At 45.6% G+C, this 27073-nt stretch overlaps 1 protein-coding gene across 8 annotated transcripts in view, besides 2 other annotated features; it reads left to right on the forward strand.

Moving 5' to 3' along the window:
* DAPK1 (death associated protein kinase 1) overlaps positions 1-27073 on the forward strand; it is a 211407-nt gene that overhangs the window by 121185 nt on the left and 63149 nt on the right. For all 8 annotated transcript variants that reach the window (NM_001288731.2, XM_047422887.1, XM_047422886.1 and 5 more), the window contains exons 4-11: positions 19531-19669; positions 20942-21071; positions 21238-21286; positions 21377-21403; positions 21886-22038; positions 22390-22435; positions 23557-23646; positions 24964-25056. In NM_001288731.2, the coding sequence (NP_001275660.1) occupies positions 19531-19669; positions 20942-21071; positions 21238-21286; positions 21377-21403; positions 21886-22038; positions 22390-22435; positions 23557-23646; positions 24964-25056 (727 nt within the window). The remainder of the gene's footprint in view (positions 1-19530; positions 19670-20941; positions 21072-21237; positions 21287-21376; positions 21404-21885; positions 22039-22389; positions 22436-23556; positions 23647-24963; positions 25057-27073) is intronic.
* Positions 1233-1733: an enhancer, noted in NCBI's record as "H3K4me1 hESC enhancer chr9:90234560-90235060 (GRCh37/hg19 assembly coordinates)". NCBI's record gives its function as "activates a minimal SCP1, AML or CMV promoter by ChIP-STARR-seq in primed H9 embryonic stem cells {active_cell/tissue: H9 hESC(primed)}" and the evidence as "EXISTENCE:reporter gene assay evidence [ECO:0000049][PMID:30033119]".
* Positions 16424-17009: an enhancer, noted in NCBI's record as "H3K4me1 hESC enhancer chr9:90249751-90250336 (GRCh37/hg19 assembly coordinates)". NCBI's record gives its function as "activates a minimal SCP1, AML or CMV promoter by ChIP-STARR-seq in naive H9 embryonic stem cells {active_cell/tissue: H9 hESC(naive)}" and the evidence as "EXISTENCE:reporter gene assay evidence [ECO:0000049][PMID:30033119]".

Raw genomic sequence — 27073 nt, forward strand, 5'->3', positions numbered from 1 at the left:
GCATTTCCACTCCTCAGACTGTACCCAAGAGACATGAAAATATATTTCCACATGAAAACTTACACATGAAAGTGGTAGAAGTATTATTCATACTAGCCAAAAAGTGGAAACTAACCAAATGTCCCTCAGCTAGTGAACAAAATATGGTATGTCCATTCAATGGGCTGTTACTTGGCAAGGAAAATAACTGTGACAACATGGATGAACCTTGAAAACATGCTAAGTGAAAGAGGCCAGACCCAATAGACCACCCACCCTATGATTTTATTGACATGAACTGTCCAGAGTAGGCACATCTGTGGAGACACAAAGTAGCTGCGTGGCTGCCGAGGGCAGGTGGGAGTGTGGTGGGAAAGTAGGGTGGCTACTCATGGACACAGGGCTTCTCTTGGGGGTGATAATGTTCTAAAATTAGATTGTGGGGATGGTTGCATAACCCTGAAAATACTAAAACCCAGTGAGTGGTACACTTTAAAAGAGTGAATTGTATGGTGCGTGAATTATATATCAAGAAAGATTTAATCTTGGATGACTCCCTCCTGCCCGCTGAATGAGGTCCATGATTGGTAGAGTGGTGCAGAGCCTTTGAACCTGTGTCCAGGCCCCTCCCCATATTCATCCATGTCTCTTCCACCCCACTTTGCCTCTGCCCTGATGCTCCACCCACAGAGAATGTCTTGCCATTGCCAGATCACACCTGTTCCCCTGTAGAACTCCTACTCATCCATCAAAACCCAGCTCACATGTCACCCTCTCTGGATTTCCTACCCACTCCAGTTAGGTTTAATTGTTTTTGTACTTGTGTTTTCCTCACTTTTTAGGCGTGTGTCGATTATAGCACATACTGTACTGTATTTTAAACATTTATGTGTCTCTCCTGCAGTGGACTGTGAGCTTCCTGAGGATGTGCCAGTATTTTACTGATTTATTTTTCTGTGCCAACCTTGTAGGAGAGGATGTACATGCTAGCACACTGTCAGTGCCCAGTGAAAGTGGTTGAAGTTGAATTCTGTCAGGGAGACTGGCTGGGAAACAACAGTAAGGACTCTGAGGAACCGCAATGAGGAGCTTTTTCATGGCAAGGACAGTGGGGTGAAGAGAGGAAACAGAGCCACAGGCACTGCTTCCCGAAGGCTCTGCCTTGCACGTGACCTGCCATACTCTAAGTAGTCCTCTCTCATGAGAACGGGGCAGTTTGTCAGCAGGGCTGATTTCCACCCTGGGCCTGAGAGGATTGAGACGCAGGACCATGTGTTCAAGCTGGATGCATGGGATGGGAACGAGCTCAATAGAAGGACAGTCGATGGGACTCCACGGGACAGGCATTGAGAACCTATTATATGGCCGGCATTGTTATGCTAGAGGCCAATGACAGTCAGAGGTGGGCGGTTGAAAGTAATGCTGCTGATTGTCGTTGTCATCTGGTAGAGTCATGCCCATCACGTAACAGCTGCCAATGCATATTTCTGCAAAGAAGGAAAGAAAGCCGATGAGCTCTTCAGAAGATGAGCTCTTCAGACAATCCTAAGTCTCCTTTACCCATTACAGCATCCTCCATGGCACTCACCCCAATCTTACTCTGGCATGCATGGGCCCAGACAGACGATGCTGTTGAAAAGGAGATCTGAACCTCATCTGCTCTCCTTAGAGGCCTCTGGTGGGGGCAGATCTCTGCTCTCAGCCCCTGCTTCCAGCAGAGCGGGGTTTCAGGCCACCCTCTCCCTGGCCCTCTCCCCAGGTGGGCGGTGGAGACCCTCTGCTCGTGCCCCTCCGCTCGTGCCCCTCCTTGGTCTCTGATTCCCTCTCCTCTCAGGGCCAGGTGTTTTAGAGCTCAAAGAGGGAAACTGGGATAGAAAACGTGTGACAGCCTTAGCACCTGCTGAGTGAATTCCAGCTCTTTCCCCTTTTCCATCGCTTCCTCCTCCTCAAACCCTTCTTCCCCCTCCTCAGACTAAGGGAAGAATCGCTCTGCTCTATGCCTGTTAAAATTGCGGCTCTCCATGTCTCAAGGTGGCTAAAGAACAGGCAGCACATCCTTCGGATCAGCTGTGTGCCTCTGATGGGCTGGTGGTCCTCTGTCCTGGGATTTCCAGGTCATGGAAGGGCAGGGAGAATTAAGCCCAGTCAAGAAGGAGGAAGAGAAGGAGTAGGGGGAGGGGGAGGGGGAGGGAGAGGGGAGGAGGAAGGGGAGGAGGAGGACCGGGAATAGGACAGGGAGGAGGAGGAGGAGGACTGGGAGTAGGACAGGTAGGAGGAAGACCAGGAAGAGGACAGGGAGGAGGAGGAGGAGGAGGAGCTGGTGGTGGTCTGTATTTCCCTGGATAATAGCCTTCCCTTGTTTTCAACTAGCCCAGGCAGATTGATTTTGGAAAAAAAAACCCATCTATGGCTCTCCCTGCTTGGTTTACTCTGGCCGCCTTTTGTTCCAGTGCCAGTTATAATTACCCAGGCTGAAGAGATGCCTGGAGGCCCCTGCTTTTCCGTTTGCCCCACTTTTGATTGGCCTAATTATTTCTGTGGGTCTCCAAAGCCTGGGCTGAAGCCATTAAAGCAACCAGAGACTTGGCATGTGCTGCGGCCACTCTGGCTGTTAAGTGTCTTGTTTCTCTGTGCCTGAGCACTTTCTTTAGTTCCAGCCCGGGAATCTCCATGTGTCCACTGGAGGATGGAGCTATAGTTTGTCTGTCAGGCACTTTCCTTTCTACCCTCCCTCCTCCAAGTATTGCCTGGAGCAAGGATTCCCTCCCTTTCCTACCCTGGGACAGCATGCATTGGTCATGACCACTTACTTTGAGTGCTGGGGTAAATGGCTGAGGTTGTTTGTGGCTGGAGATGATCACCTGGAAGGTCCAGCAGGATACTCCAGGGCCCCATGCAATACCCAAAGGTGTGGGGAGAGGCCTGTGCCTCTACACACCCACATCCCGTTTACAGCGACCCGGTTGTCAGGCTCGGCCATTGCACTGGGGGATGCCGTGCCCAGAGGCTGGTGGGCTTCCCACCTGCACCACCTAGTCCAGATTTCCTCCATTCCTGTAGCCATCTGCAGTAAGCATTTCTGCATCTTCCAGCCTCCCTGGCCTTCCCAGGGAGGAAAGAGTCTTCATCGTCTTCCTTGTGTGTATCACTCCCATTGTTGGTGTGCCATTTTCTGAGTATTTTCCAGACTCTGTGTTTCTCTTGAAATCTAGAGCTCAGGGTGGTCTGTGGTCTGCAGTTCTTTGGATGTTGAACATTAGGGAGTCTGCCTCTTGCTTTGGGTTTGAAATCAATTGCATTCCTGATGCAGGCAGCTGAGGATCCACTCTGACTCTGGGCTTTTTTCTCTCATGCTAATAGTTTCTCATCTGAATTCGTTTTTAACTTCACCTGAAGTGGACACTGTTGAGCACCCCTCTCTACCCTCTCCTGCCTGTTAGAACTGTGGCCTGGGTGACTCTAGACCCTCAGCCTCTCATCACCAATCCAGTAATCTGCAGTTCCCCCACATCCACACTGGGCTCGGTAGAGCCTCGGCAACATCAGAGCCCTTTTTCACACGTTACCACCTCTCTCCAAGGGCATCCTTTGGGCCCATGGAATGACTTGGGATGCACATTGAGCCACCATTCTAGAATGGCTTTCATGCTGGCTGCCTTGCACTTTTTTTTTTTTTTATTTCTCTGAGTTGATGGCCTCTACCATTTTCATTTCTAAAAGGTCTCTGGGAACTTTAACAAATTCTGATTTCATTTCTTTGGAGTATTTTTATGGTACCTCCCCCATCCATTTCTCTTTCCCATGCGCCCTCGCTCCCTATCCCCTGTGGAAACAAAAATGCAAGCAGAGAATCAGAAACTGAGCCAATGCCCAGTGTTGGGGTAGGAGGCTGTGGTTTCTGTGAATCCTTCGTAGGTGTGACAACCTCCTACACCAGACACCCTGCAGGGTGTGAGTGTCACCCTGCTGCCTGAGCAGCAGGCTCCGGTACCTCACAAAACAGCACTAAAGGTTGTCTTCTCCTGAAGGTTGTCTCTTACAAACCAAGTCTCTGAACCAAGAGCACATTTTCAAGAACTCCAGTCATTTTGATGTATTCAGTGGGTAGAGGGAAGGTAGATTCTCTTCCCTGAAAGGGGAAGAGAGGAAAAAAAAAGATTGCTTTTGGTTTGTTGGCTTGTTTTATAAATGCCTCCTTATATTCCACATAATGCTTCCTCAATTTAAGAAAAAAATAGGCTGGGTGCTGTAGCTCACGCCTGTAATCCTAGCACTTTGGGAGGCCGAGGCAGGTGGATTGCCTGAGCTCAGGAGTTCAAGACCAGCCTGGGCAACACGGTGAAACCCTGTCTCCACTAAAATACAAAAAATCAGCCGGGTGTGGTGGGGCGCACCTGTAATCCCAGCTACTCGGGAGGTTGAGGCAAGAGAATTGCTAGAACCCGGGAGGTGGCGGTTGCAGTGACCCGAGATTGCACCACTGCACCCCAGCCTGGGCGGCAGAGTGAGACTCCATCTCTAAAAAAAAAATAAATAATAAGGACTTTTTAAAAATTCCATGTCAAGCTGAGAACTGCAGCCTCCTGTTTGAAAATCCGCGCCTCAGCAAACTGCCACTCAATCATTTGGCCCTGAATTTGAGCATGCCATCATTTGAGTCAGTGGGTTGGGTAATCACATAAGGGGCCCACTAGGACTTGAAAGCACAATTGTTTATTATGCTGTGCTGGTAATGACTTCCACCTTCTTAACAGCTGAGTAAAGTGGTCTGGCCCCACATCCTCCTGGGCCTGCTGGTATTAATAAATCATGGTGCATTTTCTTTTCACCAATCCAGCATTCTGTTTCCTTCTTGGATGCTAAAAGAAAGTCATGGTTTTGCTTTTTTCACTTATGAATGAAAGTGATTACATTAAAAATCTTCCTTTTCCACACAGGCTGGACCTTAATGCAGCTTCACAGATTAGTCTTTCATGCCTATGGAAGACCACATTTTTGAGGCTAGAGACCTTTTGGGGATCCCAAAGTATTTCCAAATGTGGATCTTTCTTTTCTTGGCACAGTTGGCAGAGCTAACAGGTTTGGTCCCTCATGCACGAGGCATACATCCCTGAAACATAAGGTTTTTGTGCTGGTAGCGACAGTCCGTCCCCATCATCAAGCAGGACACAAAGGAACTGGAATAAAATTGCCTGTTAATTTTAGGAGACATTGGGGACCGGGTGCAGTGGTGACGCTATGGGCTAGAGGGTGGGTTGGGAGTGGAGGTGTAAGACAAGATAGTTTTTATGAAAGGTTCTGGGTTCCTGAGAGGAAGGGATTGTGCCGGGGATCGAGCTAACATTTCCTGTGCAAGGACTGTGTGCCATGCCCTTGCTCATAAGTGCCTTTCATTTGAGCTCATTTAATGTAGAGACGGTGAAAAAACATCCACCTCTGTAGAAAGCTGGGCCTGAGGAGCAAAACCCCTCAGATAGGAGGTAACACTTTGTTCCTGGACTGGGAGGGGAACTCAAGCAGCTTTATTTTTTCTGAATACTGATAATTGCCATTCACTGAGCACTTTTTATATGCCGGGTGTATTATATACATCGTGTCATTTAATCCTCACAAAAGCTCAAGGAGGCAGGGTTCTGAGATTCTATTGCTACAAAAGAAAGCACTCCAAAGCTTCTTGATGTGAAGTGGCAACAGTCATTTGTTTTGATCACAAATCTGAAATTAGGACAAGGCTCAGCAGGGACACCTTTTCCCTACTCCTTGCAGCCACAGCTGGAGCAGATGCCTGGGGCTAGAGGATTCCCTACTTAGATGGCCCCTGACATGCTGCAGATCACTCAGAGGGGACCCCCTTCCAAGATGTCCTCCACATGACTGACAAGGTAGTGCTGGCTGTCAGCTGTGAGTTCAGTCAGGGCTGTTGGTTCCACTCCACCTGTGCTCCTCCACTGTGCTAGTTGGGCTCTCCCACAGCATGGCAGCTGAGACCTAAGGTCAGGTCCTCCAAAACAGGACATGGAAGTTGCCAGTCTCTTAAAACCTGGATCTGGAAACTGGCACAGCATCACTTCTTTCAGATTCTATTGGTCGAGCAGGCACAGAACTTGCTCAGATTCAAGGCGATGCAGCAAAAGAGACCACAGCTCTCAATGGGTAGTGCCAAAGGGTTTGCAGCCATCTTTATTCTACCAGAGGTGCAGAAAGGTTAAGTGTCTTCCCCTGGATTACTCAGCCAGCAAGTGGACAGGACCCTTATCCCCTGATTTCTTCCAGATCCTGTGACACTCCTGAGTTGGCCAGAGCACCCGACTGACCTCGAGTCAGCTTTCTGTGTCCATTTTTTGCCATCAACTGTACCTGTAACATCAATGCCCACCACAGCGCCAGAGGCCTAGCGAAGCGAATTCTATAAGCATTCCTAAATCACCTTTATTTGGAATTGACTTAAAGAGCAACAATGGCAGGACCCTAGGCTTGAGAAGAAAACACCCAGGGAGCATGTGATAACCATCTTCAGATGTGGGAGGGTGACTGTGCAGGCCACAGCGTGGTTGGCGTTCTGTGACCTCCATTGTTCTTGAGTAGTTGACAAACTACAGCCGGTGGTCCCGAGACCATCACCTGCATATGTGTAGTCCTTAAGAAGGAAATGAAAATGTTTTTACATTTTCAAATGGTGGAAGAATGAAAGCAAAATAGAATACATAGCAGAGTTGAACAGATGCAAGAGAGTGTATGGCCCAGGAAGCCTCTCACAGAAACAGTTTGTTAATCGCTGTCCCAGAAGGCAGAATCAGCACCTATGTGACCAGAGGTAGATCTCGGGTCGCTATAGGAATGAATTTTCTAACTAAGAGTTGTCCATCAGCAGGAACAGCAGCTTTCAGCTGAAGGCCATACAGGCAGATGCTGTGCCTTGGACACTGTAAGTCTATGGTGTGCTGGTAAAGCTCTAACAACAGGCTCCCCAGGGGAGAGAGCCTTGGTTGGTAATGTTTGCCTATTTCTGTGGTATAAATGCTACCACATGGCCAGTCTCCAGCTGCCAGCATAGCATCACTAAATGCAGAGTGGGGAGGAGATGCACACGGTCAGCTGTCTCAGGAGCCCCAGGTTCCACTGTGATGGGCTCAGGCGATCATCAGTATATAACGCTGCCCTCGAGTAGCTCCCAGTGTAGAGACTTGCAGGGTCTTGGGTAGGCACAGTAGTGCTGGAGACTTCTGTGAGATGCCATCTGCTGCTCTGGGCCCACAGGCAGCCATTGTTAACATCCACAAGCCCAGAAAGATTAAGTACTTTGCCCAGGGCCACACAGCTGCTAAATTCCACATGCTATTTTATTGTTCTCACATTTGGTTTAGAAAATCCTGATTTCTGCAGAAAGATTGATAAGTTTGACCGCATTCAAATTTAAAACATCCGTTTAACAAAACATCACTTTAAGCAAAGTTAGAAGGCAAATAACAGATTGAGAGAAAACATTTAGAATATGTGAGATCAAGGCGTGGGTATCCAGAATATGTAAGGAGTACCCATCAGTCAATTAAAGTTAATGACTATGATGGTTCAGTAAGAAAATGGGCAAAGGATGTGGACACGCAGTTTATACCCACTCAAGTACAAACAGCCACTAAACATGACAGATGACCAATCTTGCCACTAAGCAGGGGAGTGTATGATAAAACATTGGTTCATGTTTTCCACTTATTCGATTGGTAAAAGTAATAATACCAAGCAAGGGCCATTTGCAGTGACTCGCACCTGTAATCCCAGCACTTTGGGAGGCCAAGGTGGGTGGATCACCTGAGGTCAGGAGTTTGAGATTAGCCTGACCAACATGGTGAAACCCTGTCTCAACTAAACACAAAAAATTAGCTGGGCGTGGTGGTGCACGCCTGTAATCCCAGCTACTCGGGAGGCTGAGGCAGGAGAATCACTTGAACCCGGAAGGTGGAGGTTGCAGTGAGCTGAGATCATACCACTGCACTCCAGCATGGGCAACAAGAGCAAAACTCTGTCTCTTTAAAAAACAAACAAACAAACAAAAAACAACAACAACAACAACAAGCAAGTGAGGACGCGAAGCCAAAGCAACTTCATGAACTGCTGCTGGAGGAATATAAGGTTATGCAGCCCAGCCTGCAACCGAGCATCACCTTGACCCAGAAATTCCAAACTGGGCTAGATATCCTAGAGCCTAGAAAACCTGTCACATCCTCGGAGTAGTCAGGTGCACAGGGAATCATTGCCTTCTAGTTTGTGATAGTGAAAATTTGGAATGGATGTAAAGACCATCAGTTAGGGAATGACTAAATAAACTCTTATCTAGACCTTCAGGTGAACATTAAGCTACAATGATGAGGATGCAAGAGATTAATAGCAATGGGTATTGCTGAGGTAGAATAGCAAATTGCAGATTGATGCATAGACTCTGATGTCATTTATGTTCTTAAAATGTACATAAAACAATGCCATATGGTGCATAGACTTCATATAAAAAGTTCCGGAGGGCTGTACACCATACTCGTGATAGTGCATGCTTTTGGGGAGGTAGGGATGGGGAGGGCCAGTACTGGGGAGGAGGGGAGATGTTCAGAAGCAGCTTCAGTTTTATAGCTGGATGTTTAAATTTTTCTAAAGGTCAGTGTATTTTTAAGAGACCAAGCCAAAGTTCAGTTATTTCCAAACAGAACAGTGGCTGTAAAGGAACCTACTATCTTCCTCAGCAAGTTCAGACCCAGCAGGTTGGCCATGGGGAGGCGCCCACATGGAGAGGGGTGTCTGGGTGTGGTTGCCTCGGCCCATGAGGTTGACCTTGCTCCTGAGGGTCCTCTCTCATCACGTCTGTGATCTCCATCCTGGCCTCAGGTCCCCTTGACCCTTGCCTAAGCAGGAAAATGCTTTTTGCTTAATTTATTATTGCACAGCTGGGACAACTGAAGAATTTTAAATAAGACTTTACTGAGAGCTGAGAATGACAGGAGGAAAATAGAGTCACAGTAGGTAGGCGGTGTTGCTTATAAATCGCAGGGTTCTTGTGCCAAGCTTGGAATGGCCAACACCTCCTCCCTGCTCAGCCCAGCCACCCACCCCCTTTGCTTGCTCCCTCTCCCCTTGCCCCCGGCAGCTCTCAGGAATGTCTAAACTCCACTGTGTCTAGACCCAAAGGAAAGATGCAGACAGAGTGTCCCCTCTCCCATGTAGCCATGGCCCACCTTCCAGCTTACCTGTTTCCTGTCTAAGAGCCAACCTCTTCCCCAGATTTTTGGCCCCAGGAATGTCCATCTGTTTCAGCAAAACCCTACTCTTCAACCACAGGAGTGTGGGCCTTATTCTGTCATTAGCATGAGGTCCACATCAGAATCCCATGCCTGTAAACCTAGGACCTGGGCAAGAGGCACTCACAGAAGCTTCAAGGGTTTCTCTCACCTATGGCTGTGAGGAGTTCAGGCCAAGGATTGCTGCGGGGAATATTGCACCGTTGCCATGTGCCAGATGCTCATATCCTAGCCATGTTCTCTTCATCAATCCCATTAGAAGCATAGGAACTAATATCCCATTTTCTGGACATGGAAACTGTGCCTCTGAAAGTAACTTAACCTCTCTGAGGACACAGAGCCCGATGCAAACCAGGCTACTGCCTGCAGTGCCTCTGAACCCTTGAGCCATGTTCTTCCCATAGGGGTTTGTTCTAGGTACCTTCAGGAGGCTCCTTCCTGCTTTCACACAACCTCCCTGGGTAAAAGGAAAGATCCCCTCCCCCATGAGCTTTGAGTGCCACGCATGCATGCTGTTCTATGAGAATCCATGCGGCTCCTTTTAAGTTGTTACTTGAACTTGAATTTGAGGTGAAAACAGACAGAACTTGTATATTCAGATACAGCTTGCATTTTGGATTTAAAGAAGCTAGGGCTAATTCAGAGGAGGCCTTAAGGTTAGGAACTTCGTTGATATGATTCATTTAATTTGAGGGAAACAGAGCATAGAAGCAAAAAATGTCTCTGACCCCCTGAATCTATTTCCAACCTTAAATTCACTCCGGTTCGACAAATGCAGAAAGGAATGCCCTGTGTTCCTTCTTCCCCTTCCTGTGTCCCAGCTTCAGTTTTCATTCAGCAAAGTCCTCCAGTGACCCAAGGAACTGAAATTAGAATGTGAGAGGTGAGCGTGTGAACACCCTTCAAGGCTTCCCCTAAATTAACAGGAAAGAACATTCAACACAGTGGTGATGACGGAGCATTGAGTTGTAGTTCTTGGTTTATTTAGAGGCAAAGCCAAGAGGTAGTTGGGGACCACCTCACTCCTTCACGCTGTATACACCAGGATAGTTACGGTAAAGGAGGAATCATCTCAAAATGCTTGGGGAGTTACTTAAACCCCAAGGAGAGCACCAGATATATATTTCTCATCCACATTTTTCTGACCTGAATTAAAACATTTTTATAGTAGTACATGAATGAGCCCTTCCTTCACAGGGGAATCCAAATGCAAGGCTAAGAAAACACTTCAGTGGATTCTAATTATCTTCCCCTTTCCTTGCTTCTCTTTATTTCCTGAATTGCTTTAGCCAACCTGTAATATTTTGCTTGCAGCTTGCAAGGAGTTATTACTTATTATGGGTTGGATTGGATACTCCCCCACAAAAAAATAATGTTGAAGTCCTAACCTCCAGGACCTCAGAATGTGTGATCTTCTTTGGAAAGAGATCATTCTTCTCATTGGTTACATTCTTTGCAGATGTAACCAAGTTAAAATGAGGGCACTTGGGTGGGCCCTAATCCATATGACTGGTGTTCTCATAAAGGGGGAGTGTGGATGCAGACACAGACGTGTGTGGAGGGCGGTCTACAGGGAGAGACGCAGGGAAAGTGCCAGTTGCAGGCGGGGATGGGAATGCTCGTCTACAAGCCCAGGAGCACAGAGATTGCTGGCAAAGCCCCAGAAGCTGGGAAGTGGCCAGAAGGGATTCCCCTCCAAGCTTTAGAGGGAGCATGGCTCTGTAGACACCTTGATTTTGGACTTGTAACCTGAAATTTCTGTCATTTTAAGCCACCCAATTTGTGCTACTTTGTTAGTGTGGCTCCGGCAACCTAATACACTACCTATACCTACCTAACCCTTTTATTTTTTATTGTTTTTTGAATATGTTTTTAAAAATTTTATGTAGAGATGGGGGTCTCACTGTGTTGCCCTGGGTGGTCTCAAACTTGGGGCCTCAAGCAACCCCGCCTTGGCCTCCCGAAGTGTTGGGTTTGCAGGTGTGAACCACCATGCCTGGGCCTAACTCTTTCAAAGTATACATTTAGGATCAAATAAAATTGGAAATTTCAGTTCCTCTATCATAGTCAGTTTGACATTATATTTTCCAAAGATGGCTTCAGTGTTATCTGCTGTCCTACCTATAGGGCCAAACACCTGAAATCAGGAGCTGGATTCTAAATCCCCCTTCCCTTGGATCTGGATAGGCCCTTTTGATGCTGTGTGACTTCTGAGGCAGCATCCACCTGCGTGCTGGGACACTTGCTCTGGAGCCCTGACGTGCCTGTGAACAGTCCACTTATCTTGAGGCCAGTGTGCTATGAGGGAGCCCAAACTAGCCCAGATGGAGAGACCACGCAGAGACATGAGACTACAAGGAGAGAGGTGCCCAGACAGCCCCCGAGCTGCTTCAGTGCCCCTGCCATTTCAGCATCAGCCATTGTCTGATTACAACCCCATGACACACCCTAAGCCACAGCTGCCCAGCCAACCCTTCCTGAATTCCCAACCCATAAGATAATTGTCATGATTAAAGCCTAAGGTTCTGGGGAGATTTGTTACATGGCAATAGATAACTGCAACAGTTAGCATGCTCTGTGCTTTGCATTGGTCACTTTCTTTTAATTTATAAAATGTATTACATTATTACTTGTGATTAAATAGTTTTATTATTTAAAGCAGACAGAAGACAACCACAAAATCTGGTAGCTTAACATTATAGGATTTATCTCTCACTCACTCAAAGTCTCATGCAGATAGGGTAGGTTGATGACCTCCTCCAGGCAGTGACTCAGGGATCTACATTCCTTCTACCTAGCCTTTGCTGCCCCCTGGTCCTTCTTGGAGTCCTGTGCTGGGTCACCTGTGTTCTGGTGGCCAAAGAGAGAGATGAGAGTGTGGGTGGGGGATTACATCGGATGTTTTGGGGACCGCATCTGAAATGGCACACATCATTTTGGTCCATATTTTACTGGCTAGAAGTAGTCCTGGATTCGAGGAGCTGGGAAATGCCCCTTAGTTGTGGGCCTGCAAGAAACAGGGTAGTATGGTGGGAACACAACCGAGGCTCTGCCACATCTGCACACAGATCGGAGGATCTTAAAATACCAGAGCTGGAAGGGCCTTGAGAAATGAGCTTATCTGCGTGTCATCTCTGCTTCAGGATGAACAGAGTCTTGTTAAAATGCAGATTCTGGGGCCTCACTCAGGAAGTAGGTACCAGGAAATTACATTAAAAAGATTTCCCAAATTATTGTTGTGTGCACTAAGGTTAGAGAACCACTTAACCTGGTTACTCAACCCTCTCATTGTACATAGAGCAAAGGTGAGGTCCAGAGAGGTGATATGACCTCCTTATATCTCTTCAAGTCACCCACCCCTTGAGGCCAGAATTGGAGCTGGCGCCTCTGCCTCCCAGGGCTTTGTGACCTAGGAGCCAGGCCTCGAAGGTGTGCCCTGGGGGAGCATACTTGGTGCCTGATTTCTTCCACTCTGAAGAATCCTAATGTTTGCCTTGAAATTGGCCTCATGGGGTAATTAGTATGTAGACAGGGGTCCTCTGCAGCTTAGATGATAACCAAAGCGGATCCTAAATCAAGTCTTGTTATATTTTGGGCAATTCCTAGCAAAAGTCAGGAACCCTCCAGAATGTTTTAATTTAGAAAATGGAATCTTGCAATACCTTCTCCTGCATTATTAAAAGGCCCACTTTGTTTTTAATGTAGTGACATGTCCTAAATACCTTCTGTCGTGGCCAACTTTTAGGGAGGCTTTGGTGGTAGTAAAAGACATGTTGGGAGGAGAAAGAACCATGGTATTTTCCAGCTCTCTTGGTGAAAACAGCAAATGTTCATTAGTATTCATTTCACACGATTTCCCTGATAAAGCCATAATTTAAAACACTGACTCAAAGCCCTAATAAAGGAGGTTAACTTGCTTTCTAAATCTGCTGCACAGACTGCTCATCTCTCCTTCCATCAGCCTCCCTTCTCCTAAGCCAATTGTAGAATTTGGAACAAAGAGAAAAAGTGCAAGGTTTTTTTATTGATTCCCTTGTTAACCAGATTCTGCTGTTCAGCAACATGGTGAGCATTTGAGTTCTGGTTCTCAGCATGCATGTGAAAAATCCTCAAGTCATTTTCTACCTTCAGAGATTTGGGGGCCAAACAGGGAATAAATTACCAAACAATGCTTATCATGCTCCCAAACATTTGCTGAAATCATTTAGTTTCAATTATTTTAATTACTGAAGATTTTATAAGCAGAGTTCATGGCAAAAACATCTGCCTTCATGAATTGGCACGAAGGAGGATGAGTATATATGTAGAAATAAAGGAAGATGAGTATATATGTAGAGATGAAGGAGGATGAGTATATATGTAGGGATGAAGGAGGATGAGTATATATGTAAGGATGAAAGTTAATTAGTATATATGTAGAAATATATATATATATATGTATGTGTGTGTGTATATATATATAAAATACCAGATGGGTATGTATGTATGTAGAGATGAAGGAGTATGAGTATATATGTAGAATGAAGGAGGATGAGTATATATGTAGGGATAAAGGAGGATCGGTATATATAGGAGTGAAGGGTGATCAGTATATATGTAGGAATGAAGGAGGATGAGTACACATGTAGAAATGAAGGAAGATGAGTATACATGTAGGGACAAGGAGGATGAGTACATATGTAGGGATGAAGGAGGATGAGTGCATATGTAGAAATGAAGGAAGATGGGTATACATGTAGGGATGAAGGAGGATAAGTGTGTATGTAAGGATGAAGGAGGATGAGTATATATATAGGAATGAAGGGTGATCAGTATATATGTAGGGATGAAGGAAGATGACAATATATATAGAAATGAAGGAAGATGAGTATACATGTAGGGATGAAGGAGGATGAGTATACATGTAGGGATGAAGGAGGATGAGTATGTATATAGGAATGAAGGGTGATCAGTATATATGTAGGGATGAAGGAGGATGAGTACCTGTGTAGAAATGAAGGAAGATGAGTACCTATATACAAATGAAGGAAGATGAGTATACATGTAGAGATGAAGGAGGGTGAGTATATATGTAGGGAAGAAGGAGGATGAGTATATATGTAGATATGAAGGAGAATCAGTGTATATGTAGGGATGAAGGAGGTTGAGTACATATGTAGGTATGAAGGATGATGAGTACCTATGTAAAAATGAAGGAAGATGAGTATACATGTAGGGATGAAGGAGGATGAGTATATATATATATATATAAATGAAGGGTGATCAGTATATACGTAGGGATGAAGGAGGATGAGTACATATGTAGAAATGAAGGGAGATGAGTATACATTAGGGATGAGAAGGATGAGTATATATGTAGGGATGAAGGAGGATGAGTATATATGTAAGATGAAGGAAGATGAATATATATGTAGGAATGAAGGAGGATGAGTACATATGTAGAAATAAAGAAAGATGAGTGTACATGTAGGGATGAAGGAGGATGAGTATATATGTAGGGATGAAGGGTGATCAGTATATATGTAGGGATGAAGGAGATTGAGTACATATGTAGGGATGAAGGAATATGAGTCCATATGTAGAAATGAAGGAAATGTAGGGATGAAGGGGGATGGGTATGTAGGGATGAAAGGGGATGTGTACATATGTAGATATGAAGGAAGATGAGTATATGTGCGTATGGGTGAGGGGGGATGGAGTGAATACATAGGGCCTTCTGGGCATCAGTTGATAAGTCCTGACCTAGTGGGATAGGGACTCTCCTAACCTTTCTAATGTCTAACTGAAGGACTTGGTTGCCTGGACAGCCATGACATGGACTGCTTCATAACAAGTTGAGATTTGAACAGGGACTTGTGAGAAGGGTCAATGATGAAAACTAAGAGGATCAACTAGTGCTCTCCTTCTCCCAGTCTTGATCAGTCACTACACTTTGCAGTCCTGGTCCCTAACTCTTGGGGTTCCAGGGTTATTCATTGTCCTTACTCCTGTGGAGTTGAGTTTCTGAGGACGCAAATACTGAATAAGGCACGAGATGACCAGGCCAGAGAAGGGCAAGCCTAATTTCCATTGGCTGAGCCTAGTAAACAAGCCCAGTTCAAGATGGTGCATGTTCTAGCCTTCTATGGCTATGTAAAAAACTATCCCAGACCCAGTGGGGTGTAGCTTGGGTTCCCTGGGAAGCAGACTCTGAGATGGAGAAGAGTGTGCATGGTGTTTATTAAGAACTATACTTAGGATCAAGATTTGGAGAAGAGGAGAAGGGGGCAGGAATGGGTTTAGTGGCAGCCCCAGTTGGCCAACAGGGAGTTCTGGGGCCAGAATGACCCTTGAGAGTTGCCCCAGGTTGGGCTGTGATGACCTAGTCTTTATATCAGGGATCAGCAAGTTATGGCCTATAGGCCAAACCCAGGTTGCCACCTATTTTTTAACTAAAGTTTTATTGGAACACAGCCACACCCATCATGTACATGTCATCTGTGGCTGCTTTCATGATACATTAGCAGAGCTGAGTAGTTGGGACAGACTGCAAGGCTGGCAAAGCCTAAAATATTTAGGATCTGCCCTTGATGGAAGTTTGGCAGGCCCTGTTATGTTCCCTCATTGATCAGTTGCTGAATGGACAGTCTCTGACCTCTGTGGCCTCGGCTGCGCTGGAGGGTCCCCTTCTAAGGTGCCTTCCTTGCTCGAGGCTCCTTGGCCTTGTTCTCCAAGGACATCTCTTCTTCCTGGGTTTCTCCACGTGGCACAGTGGTTTGGCATCGTCGTACTTCTTGCATCTTACCTGAGGGCTTCAGGAGGTGGGACCTGGAGGCCCCCAGTCCATGAAAAGCCACAGCAGGGCTGGCAAAATCACTTGTGCCATTGGTCAAAGTGATCATGGGGCCTGCCCAGATTCAAGAGATGGAGCCACAGATGCCGCCCACTGCCTGAAGGAGGATGGCACAATCACGGTGCAGAAGAGCATGAGGATGAGATGCTGTCAGACCGTCTTCGGAAAAATGTGGAACACCATGGCAGGCCAGGTGGCTGCTCGGCAGTGCCGTGTCAATCCCAGCTCACCCAGGTCACCGCTGCAGTGCCTGTCCCTCCCCAACTCCACCCACGGTCCCTGACATCACGTGGGGAGGGAGTTTGAGATGGCCATGGTGGGAATGTGACACCTCGGGAATGGGCTCTACCCACCCCAACGCCAAAGAACCTGCTGCACACCCCTGCTGCCATGGGAGGACTTCTGGTTTGAAGCCACATGGGAAGAAAGACAGCAGCATTTATTGAGCACTAAGGGTCGCTACATGTCCTGGAACCTCAGGATGACTCCGTAAGCTATGATGTTACCCTTTATTTTATAGAAGGGGAGTCAGAGGCTCAGCAAGGTTGGAGGCCCTGGCAGGATTTGAACCATGGTCCCCTCGTTTTTGCCATCCTGCCTCACAGAAGACGGAGCTGGCAGGAGAAGGAGATCCTGGGTCTGAAGAAAGCTTAGGTTGGCAGGGAGGGAGAGAAAGCTGGCCAGAGAAGAGCGGGCAAAGCCTGAGGCCAGGGCAGCATGGGGTTGCCAGAAGGCTGGACAGTGGAGTCCCTGGAAAGGACTCAGGGCCAGCAGACTGCGCCAGCTGTGTGGGTGCTGGAAGATTCACCCCAACCAGGCAGCCAAACTCCTGACGTTTCTCATTGTCTGAAAAATGCATCTCTGTACTCTAAGACAACACAAGCAGAATGCGAGTGAGGTGGGCTCGGGAGGCCCTGAAGAGGGCCACGGAGAGAAAGCCGGCGGCTGGGCACCACATTCACAGCAGAAGTTTCAGTTCCTTCCCCTCACCTTCTTCCTGGGAAGCACAGTGGTTAGGCTCAACCAATGGACCAGTTTTAGGAGGAGGAGCGGGCAGGAAGGGGCTTTCATATTGGATCCTGTAGGAAGCAGTGGTATGCTACAGGGGTGACAGTGGCCTTCTTTATAACAACACTCGTTCCCGCAAGCTGGACCTTACCCACGTGCCAGCCTTGCCAGTTACACATGTCTATTACCTTTCATCCTCATAACCTTCAAGGGAAGAGGTCTTATGACTCCTCTTTGGGGAAATGAGGCTCAAGAGAAGGGGTAACCTTCCGGGTTTCAGGGTGAGCGCGTGGCAGAAGTTAAGACTTGGACTGGATGCAGGCACTTGACTTCTCCACATCACGTGGCCACGGTGCCTGAGTCAGCCCAGTGGTGCGGGGCGCCCCAGAGAGCACAGAAGCCAGGGCTGGAGACCCAGGTGTGATGGGAGAGCTTTCTTTGGGTGAGGTTGGTTCACAATCTCCCACTTTTTCCCCCCTATAGTTGAAGGATTTTCTCTCCCCGTTGTTTGTTTTAAGAATAAGATGCAAAAGTGAGAAGCGGGAGGCCTTGCCTTGTTCCGTGGGCAGACAGTGTGGGGGCTGTGAGGCCAAGGACACCTGGGAGGGGAGAGGGTGGGGGCAGACTGCATCTCCCAAGAGCAGGGTGGGGAGTGCAGGGAAGGGTCAGGAGGAGAGCAAGGCCACTGCTGAGGCAGGGTCCATGTAGGACACCTTTCGCTTGGACTCCTGGATGTCCTGGCTGGGCCCAGGCCCTGCTGTGTCCCCTGGAGGATAGGGGAGGCCTGTGGACTGCTCACAGGAGGGTGTGGCTACCTCTGCCAGGCCCCTGGGGATAGGAGAGTCACTCCACCATCCCCGTAAACCAGTGGGAGGCCCTGCAGCAGGAGCGTGGAATTAAGACGTGGGAAAATGGTCTCAGTTTTTCAGGTGCTTGTTAAAGATGCTGAGTTTTCTGGTCACCATTCTTGGAAGCCCTCACACAGCAGATTGAAAGTGAGGCTCAGAATCTTCATTTTTAAAGCATCCTCAAATAATTCTGATACCCATGGACTCTAGACCGTGCTAAGGAAAACACTGACCTGGAGGGTGAAGGCATGTGGGATCTGAAACTTTTAAGAAAACAGCTTTTTTGTCATTCTTATCTGATCTTATGAGCACCAATTTTCTTACTCTGAATGGATGTAGATGTGGAAGGTATAATGTTTGGGGAGCGCTCTTGCCCTAAGAGAGATAATGAATACAGCAGTTTGTGCATAATTGCACTTAATTATTATGTTGTGAATATATGGTTAAACTTGATAAAGATTAACTTATAAAAACTCTTATTAAAACTTCCCTGTTATTTGCCATTCATCGCTATCGTGGAGTTTTTAGGGGAGCTTGTTCGTCCATCCACCTGATAAAGTTTTGAATGCATGCTGTGTGCCTGGCTCTGGCGGGGAGTGGGGCATACAGCAGTAGCCAATAGCTGGGGTGGGAGGTTCTGACCACTCCCCTCCACCCACTTACAGTCTGGACAGAGAAATAAACTAAAAAAATCCGCAACCAACAACATACATTTTGCTTTTTTTGTAAATGTATTCTTTTTTTTTGTTTTTTTGAGACAGTCTCGCTCTGTCACCAGGCTGAAGGGCAGTGGCACAATCTTGGCTCACTGCCACCTCCGTCTCCCAGGTTCAAGTGATTCTCCTGCCTCAGTCTCCCGAGTAGCTGAGACTACAGGCACACGTCACCATGCCCAGTTGTTTTTTGTATTTTTAGTAGAGACGGTGTTTCTCCATGTTGGCCAGGATGGTCTCGATCTCTTGACCTTGTGATCCGCCCGCCTCAGCCTCCCAAAGTGCTGGGATTACAGGTGTGAGCCATTGCGCCCAGGCTACTAAATGTGATTTTTATAAATGTGTTAGTATTTACATACAAACCAATACTAGACAAGAGAGGAAAAAACCCTTATCAGACCATATATTGTGAATTTGAGTTTTAAAGAATTAATTAAACATGCAAGTTATGAACTTTTCAGGTACTCTCTAATTGAAATAAGAAGATATACACTATAAATTCTGTACAAAGCTGGCTTGCAGATTTTTTTCTCGTCATTAGAGTTAAGACATCACCTCTAAGTATGTTTAATTAAAATGTTTTCAAGATACACTGATATTTTCTTCACAGCATTTCATCTCTGCCCCTCCTCTCATTTGTGAACACGGAACCTTAGGAAAATGGTTCCCAAGTGCTTTCAAGCACAAATGTGTCTGAATGCAGAATTGTCAACAACCTGCACAGAGAATTCTGAATCCATGCTTGGCGGTTTCAGCATAGTCTTTATGCTGTTTTCTTGTCTGAAGTTTGAGCGCACCAATAGTCTATGAGAGAAGGAATCAATATGAAACAGAGTTGTTACCAATAACCTCTGCTTCCGGGTTCTCAGCGTTGCAGGTGGCGAGCTGTTTGACTTCTTAGCTGAAAAGGAATCTTTAACTGAAGAGGAAGCAACTGAATTTCTCAAACAAATTCTTAATGGTGTTTACTACCTGCACTCCCTTCAAATCGCCCACTTTGATCTTAAGGTACGTTTCAAAGTGTAAGCCAGATAGAAGCTTGTGCAGATCACAGCCTTGGTTGTTTCTCTGCTAAGAAAAATTGAGGCATCTGAAAGAGTTACATGATTTTCCTGTACCAGTTTAACAAACAGAAATATCACTATAAATCGGCAAGCATAGGATACATGCCCCCCACTGGGATGGCTAACCTTTTTGTGGGATAGAGGCTTAATGATAATTGATTACATTCTGGAATTCTTGGTAAAGAATACAAGGGGTCTTAGGAGCCAGGTTTTTTAGTAAGGGGGCTGCTCTAGCCAGCAGCTAGTGACTGGCACTGGTTCCTTCTGTGGCTCTGGGCATGTTAAGATAGAAAATGTGTTGAGTGATGCAAAGGCGTATGGCCTGACTCTGTCACCAATAATCAAGCAAACCAAACTCAGATTGGCTAATTGGGGCATTTGCCTGGCTGGATGCAGGACGCTGTTGGAGATGAAAGGGCATGTAAGCCGTCCTCCCAGCCATGACAGAGGTGTGGTCTCTTTGGGAAGGGAAGACACGACAGGAGCAATAGGAAGTGGCAATGGTGGGAAGTTCCAGTTCAAGGCAGGAAGAGGTGGTCTGGTAAAGCAGCGCGTGCTCCATCCGAGTAGTTGATTCAGACCAGTAGAGCTGGGATAGGATTTCAGAGGAGGGAGGATTTTCCCCATTCTTCTGTAGCAGAGCTGTCAATGTCCCATTCATGTCCCTGCTGGCCCCACAAACAATGTGCAAAAGCACACACTCATATACATCCTAACAGAGGGCTTGTTGCAAATACCTGTGACTCTTCCTGGCATCTTGTTTCTGGCCCTGGGAGCTGGAAATGCAAAAGAAAAATGTCCACAGAAGCAACTGTCAGCCATGGAGGATGGAGAAATGGTGGATAAAGACCCCAGCTCCCTCCTGCTACAATTGGAATAACACTGAGTTCTCCTTTTCCTCTCCCATTCCCCCAGTTACCCCCACTTGATAGGACACCTCGTAGCAGCTTCCTTCTGTTTCCTGTATCTCCTTTCTCTACCAAGTGTTTCCTGGTGTCCCCTCCCACATAACCCACTTGCATCCGAATCCTTGTCTCAGGCCTGCTTCAGGGAGAACCTAGAGCAAGACATGTATTTTCCTGCTGTTCTCTTCCAACCACCCTTTCTTCCCTACTTTTTGGCCTTTTTTTTTTTTTTGGAGAGAAGAACTATTCTGCCATCTTGTCCTCAGCATAACATATCATAGCTTTTTATTTATCTCTCTCTTTTTTTCAAGCCTGAGAACATAATGCTTTTGGATAGAAATGTCCCCAAACCTCGGATCAAGATCATTGACTTTGGGTTGGCCCATAAAATTGACTTTGGAAATGAATTTAAAAACATATTTGGGACTCCAGAGTTTGTCGGTAAGTTTCTTTGCTCCTGTGGTCATTTACGTCTCATAAACATTATTCTGGCAAACCTCCCCTGCTAGAAGATTCTTTCCCTGCTACATGTTCCTGGTTGTTGCATGAAGATAGAATCGGTTAGTTTGCTTCCTCCCAAGCTAAATGAGTGTTTGTTTCCTCTTAGCTCCTGAGATAGTCAACTATGAACCTCTTGGTCTTGAGGCAGATATGTGGTAAGGAGTATGTCCTTGGTGTTGTTTGCTTTCTGATTTATTTGACTATTCTTCTGACATGTTTTTTTGTTTGTTTTGTGTTGTTTTTAGGAGTATCGGGGTAATAACCTATATCCTGTAAGTATCAGAATTCACAACTCATACTCTCTTCTCTTCTATGAGACCATAGGTTTAATTAACCATTAAATGTGCTGTGTTGATCTCTTCAGCTTATGCATGCTTTTGATGCAAACATATTCATTTTACACCCCCAAAACATGTTTAGTTTATACTAATTAAACATGTTCTCCTAATTTGAAATGAGTCATCAGAAACTGTAGCATAATCACTGAAAGAAAGCATAGCTGTCCATCACTGCCGAGAAAACAGGTTTCCTTTAAACTACCAGACGCTGTTCCAGATTAACTTGTTAAGTGAATCCTTTTGCCTGAAGCTGAAGCATTTGCTCCTGACAGTTAAAGCCCTATGAAATATAATCAAACTGTGACTATTCGAGCACCAGATTATAATCTTATTCCACACTCCAGATGTTATAGGAGCAAAATGACAACACCAAGGGGTCATCATTAATGTTCTATGCCCAACTTTATTTTTAACAGCCTAAGTGGGGCCTCCCCATTTCTTGGAGACACTAAGCAAGAAACGTTAGCAAATGTATCCGCTGTCAACTACGAATTTGAGGATGAATACTTCAGTAATACCAGTGCCCTAGCCAAAGATTTCATAAGAAGACTTCTGGTCAAGGATCCAAAGTGAGTGTCCACGTTCCTGAAAGGTGCTTGGCCACGGCCTCAGCCAGCCCAGAGCCTGTGTCTGTTCCATGCACAGGGCCACGTTCCTCAGACCCTGCTTGCTTCATCTGCCAAAGGGCAGCATGCCATGTGAAACGCTTCAGAAAATGCAAGCAGGGCCCTCTGCCCCCACTCAGTCAGTCCCTGCAGGCACAGTGAAATAATCACAAAAAGACCGATGTTGTTTTTGGCTTTCTTCCCTGAACTGCATTTTCCACAGTATCTGCTTGGCAGGCCCAGCCAGCATGAAAACAACCTTAGTATTTGCTGCTATGGTCACAGCATTTTTTTTCTTCTCCCCCTCCCCTCAAGGAAGAGAATGACAATTCAAGATAGTTTGCAGCATCCCTGGATCAAGGTGAGTTGCATATTACGAAACTGTTTAGATCACTTTCTATGTGATTGGTTTGGGCACCCTGGTATTCATGTATCATAGAGTACTGCTAACCACAGGTCACACCTGGAGTGTTAAGTTTGCTATTTGCATCGTATCTTAAGAAAAGCTGACAGGTTAGACTGTATACTAATGATCCCAGAGGTGGGGAGAGAGGAATAAGCGAGCACAGAGCAGGAACTGAAGAAGGTCAAGCCCACTCGACAACTGTGTTTGGAGTGACCTGTGGGGTGTTGGCCCAAACAGTGTATTTAACATTTTATGTTGATTCCAGCATGTAAATATCAATCAAATCTGGATTTCCAGCTTCTCTTGGGAAATCTGAAGATCTGCTGACACTGAGCCCTCATTCCACGTGGCCTTGGGAAGTGGCACAGGTGCCTTGGTGCTAGGGAACAGGGCGCCCTGGAACATTACACCTTTACATTACCTGCCTGGCCTGGTTGACATTTGGATTAAAGTATCTTCAATCCAGGGCAGAAAGGGCTAAGGGTGGGAAAGTATGATAGTTACAGAATAAAATCATGAAATAAAGAAGTGAACATCACAGAATCAGGCTCTGGGGGCAAATAGCTTTGCTGTGCAAGTTCCCAGCAGTTACCTGGGTTCTCCTAGCCAGCTATGGTGTCTCCTCCTCCCAGAGGTGGAGGACAAAAGCTAAATACATCTACTGAAAAAGATACAATACAAGGAATTCTCCTGCTATAGGCCAAACTAACTTTGCTGACCTCTGAGATCCCTCTCAGCTCTACATTACTTGATGATACCCAAGTTCAAATGCCTCATAACATAGCCTCACCATGAATATTGCCATTCCCAAACTATCAGTGTGGAAAGTTGTGATTTAGTTTGACCCCAAGCTCTACTTCTCCCCAGTGTCCATGGATGATACGAAACCCTGAGATAGAAGAGTGAGCCCGCTAAGACTAGGTGCCTAGGTATTCCATGTTATCCCAACTTCTTATGCTAATTTAATAAGGTGAATGTGTAAGCATCCTGAATAAGGAGATGTTTCAAAAAATTGTCATATAACACATTTTCATAATTTGAGAGCTTTAATTTTTTTTCTTGGATTTTTATTTTAGCCTAAAGATACACAACAGGCACTTAGTAGAAAAGCATCAGCAGTAAACATGGAGAAATTCAAGAAGTTTGCAGCCCGGAAAAAATGGAAAGTAAGATTGTTTGTTGTGGAGGGATTAACAAATTCTGTTTCCTGTGTAGAGTAGTGTGTGGTCAGGGTGCATCTCCTCTGATACTGGTAATATGGAAGATACATCCTTTCCTCTTTTTAATCCACCCTGTAGTGTTCTGCACCATTACTCTATTTTGAAAAACAAGCAAAAACAATATTTTAGTCACTTTAACTGATACCATTAAATGTAATTTTGTGTTGTTTTCATCAAAACTATTCTCAGTGCAAATTTTTATAGCAGCACTGTAAAATTATAGTGAAATTTTTTTCTAATACTACAAGCCACATTTTAAATAAATTCATTCTTTGTGGTAAGCAGCATGAGATTACATTTGTGCTGTACCTTGGGTAAGTGGGTCTCTCAGCCCAGCCTTTATCTGTGAGTGGTTGGAGTGGGGGTGGGGTGGGGCCGTGAGCATTTGCAGGGTGGCCTGTTCTCCTTCCTCAGTGTGGATGGCCTCCACAGGGGCTGGGTAGGACATTGCTCTGAAGGCATTGCAGACCTCCTGGAACAAATCACACTTCAGGGCTAAGAAGGTGATGGGATGGTTTCCTGTGCCCAGGGTCATGTCAAACCTAGAGGAAGTGGGTACCTACCGTGTCTTCCCAGCTCAGGGCCAGAAATGTACCTCGTTTTCACACCTACCAATTTTGGGGTGCCGTGGTAGGGATGAGGAAGACCACAGCACTAGATTCCCAAAAGTCCTTAGAATTAGGCTTAAAATAGAGAGAGAGCAACCATTTCTCTTTCTCGCTCTCATTCTTTAACTGTACTTTTGCCTTAGAGAGTAAATGCAGAGATGTTTGTTCTATAGACTAAGAGGTCCCCCAGCTGTTCACTTCCAACAGCTGTTGCGTTTTGGTTATCACATTGTCTACCATCACTGCTTATGTGGCACAAAGGACACAGAGCAAGGCCCCTGCAGTCTGTGCTTCTCTGAGGGTGATCTGCAAGGGTCAGATCACCTTCTCCAAACAGCAGAGAAGAAAATATAGAGAGAGAAAGGATGTGGGGTGTCCAGCTCTGTAGTTCAATAATGAAACATGGAAGGAGAATCTCTATATCCTGTTGTCTTGATTTATAAGACCTTTAAAATTATTCTTTAAGCAAATACAACCCATTCTGCTGTAGGATTGCCCACCCTGGGAGAGTGTGTGCTGATAGCAATGAACACGATCTCGCAGGCTTTGTCGTTTGTACTCATTTGACAATTGTTACATAAGCTGTCTCTCCTCCTCTCACCCTGCCTTTTTCCTCCCCGCCCTCCCTTTTTTTTTTTTTTTTTTTAAAAAAAAGCAATCCGTTCGCTTGATATCACTGTGCCAAAGATTATCCAGGTCATTCCTGTCCAGAAGTAACATGAGTGTTGCCAGAAGCGATGATACTCTGGTAAGCAAACCCGTGAGCCCTGGTGCTCCTTTCTTAGCACTGGGTACTCAGAATGACCAAGCTGTTCTATTTGTTCAACCTCCCAGGAACCTGAAGTTGTGGAAATGGCAAGCTTATTCTTGATCCCCTCGGAGGGGTTTGGGGGTGCTGATTGATGCACCCTCTTGCTTCTTTCCTCTTTTTTTCTCTTTGATTTGGATGGTGCTGTCCCCCCTCATAGCCCCATACCTCTAACACTACCCTCCACCTCGATGCAAACATAAGCACAGACCACCCCCGCAACACACACACATACACACATGCACAGCAAATGCACACACATAGAGACACACGCACTGATATTTTGGTAAAAGAGAGGCTAGCCAGCAGAAGAGAAAAGAGCTTATCCTAATTTTCATGAACTGTAGCCACTGACATAGAAGAATCTTGGTTAACAGTAGCACAGAAGGGGCAGACAGCCGCCACTCCCTTCCCACACACCCACACCAGAGAATCAGGGAGAATGCAGTGCTGCTTGCTGATGTGTCTCCTAGCAGACCAGAAGGCCAAACCTGCTTGCATGATTGGCCTGGTGTTGACTGCCCAAGGCCCTTGAATGTAACTCCAACTTTCTTAGTTTTAATGTGAACTTTGACAAAGTGGCAAAGATTTATCAAATTTGTTGTTCGGTACTCTCTAGTTATTTTTCCTTTGTAATTAGAAATGCATTTATTTTCCAATTTCTAGCCTTTATTTTCTTTATTTTCCCCTCTAATCCAAACTGAAACCTAATCACAGATAAGCTCTTCAGATACGAGTGGAAGTGTCCGAATTCAACAAGACTTTCCCCTGACAATCAAACAACGGGGCTTTGTTAAGTCAGGAGGTGAAGGGGACTCCAGACAAGGCAGCCACGGTTGTCCTGCGGGAACTACCCTGCCCCTTTAACTGAATAGTCAGCATTTTCCCGGTGGAGCCAAGTACTTCAGGGTGGGAACTGCAAACACCAAGCTCCCCTTTTTTCTCCTTAAGTTAGTAGCTTCACTGAGGCTTCACATCTAGCCTTGTGGAGTGAAATGGGATTGGAGATGTTTGAAAAAAAAAGCAAAAGAGAAGCAGATTAGGGCGAGAAGAGAGAGAAGAGGAGGCTTTGTTTGGGAATTGTTAGAGGGTGGCTGCACAACCAGTGAAAAGATAAAAACTGTGACTCTAGGTAAGATAATGAGAATGATTAAAGATTGCAAATTGAAATCACTGAATATTCAACTGAGAGACAATACATGTGTCACAGTGAAAAGTTTAGGGTAGGAGAGGGACCAAGGGTCTTGTAGGAGCTCCAGGTGGAAAGATACCCTCCCAGAGGTCAGATTCCCTTATTTCCATATTCTAATCATGGGGATGAGTCATAACAATCTGCTTTATTCCTTCTGTTTTCCCCATTTCTCTTGACTTGCACTTTCATGTAAACGCCTCTTAGTCATTGACTTCAATTGTGATAGAAAAGCATTCTTAAACATGCATTTTATACAAATATTACTAAAACCCACATGAAAAGTGTTTGGATTCAGATCTATAGAGAAGAGAAAGCAGATGGAGAGAAATGCTTTCTCCATTCTCCCCCACAAGCAGAGATTCAGCCTCTGTAGATTAACTTTTCCAGATTTGAAATTCCAGTGGTCATAATTCTGTGTTTATAAGTTCAGAAATTTTGTTTAGGATTTTTCTAGCTAATTCCTTAGTTTTAATGTGAATTTTGAAAGAGTGGCAAAGATTTTTCCAGTTTTTGTTCACTACTCTTCCAGTTATTTTTCCTTTGTAATTAGAAATGCATCAGTTTTCTGATTTCTAGCCTTTATTTTCTTTATTTAGAGCCTATTGTTTTAATTTTTATTTTTCTGTTTTTTATAATTGGGACCAGCTTTCAGAGATTTTTGCCGTGTTATTCTATACCTAGCAATGGAAGAAATTCAAGTGATCAGAAAACAATTCTGTAATTGGAAAAATTGCAAATTGAGAATATCTTATTCAAAGGTATCAT

Source organism: Homo sapiens, chromosome 9, assembly GCF_000001405.40.
Source record: "Homo sapiens chromosome 9, GRCh38.p14 Primary Assembly".
Classification (NCBI taxonomy): Eukaryota; Metazoa; Chordata; class Mammalia; order Primates; family Hominidae; genus Homo; species Homo sapiens.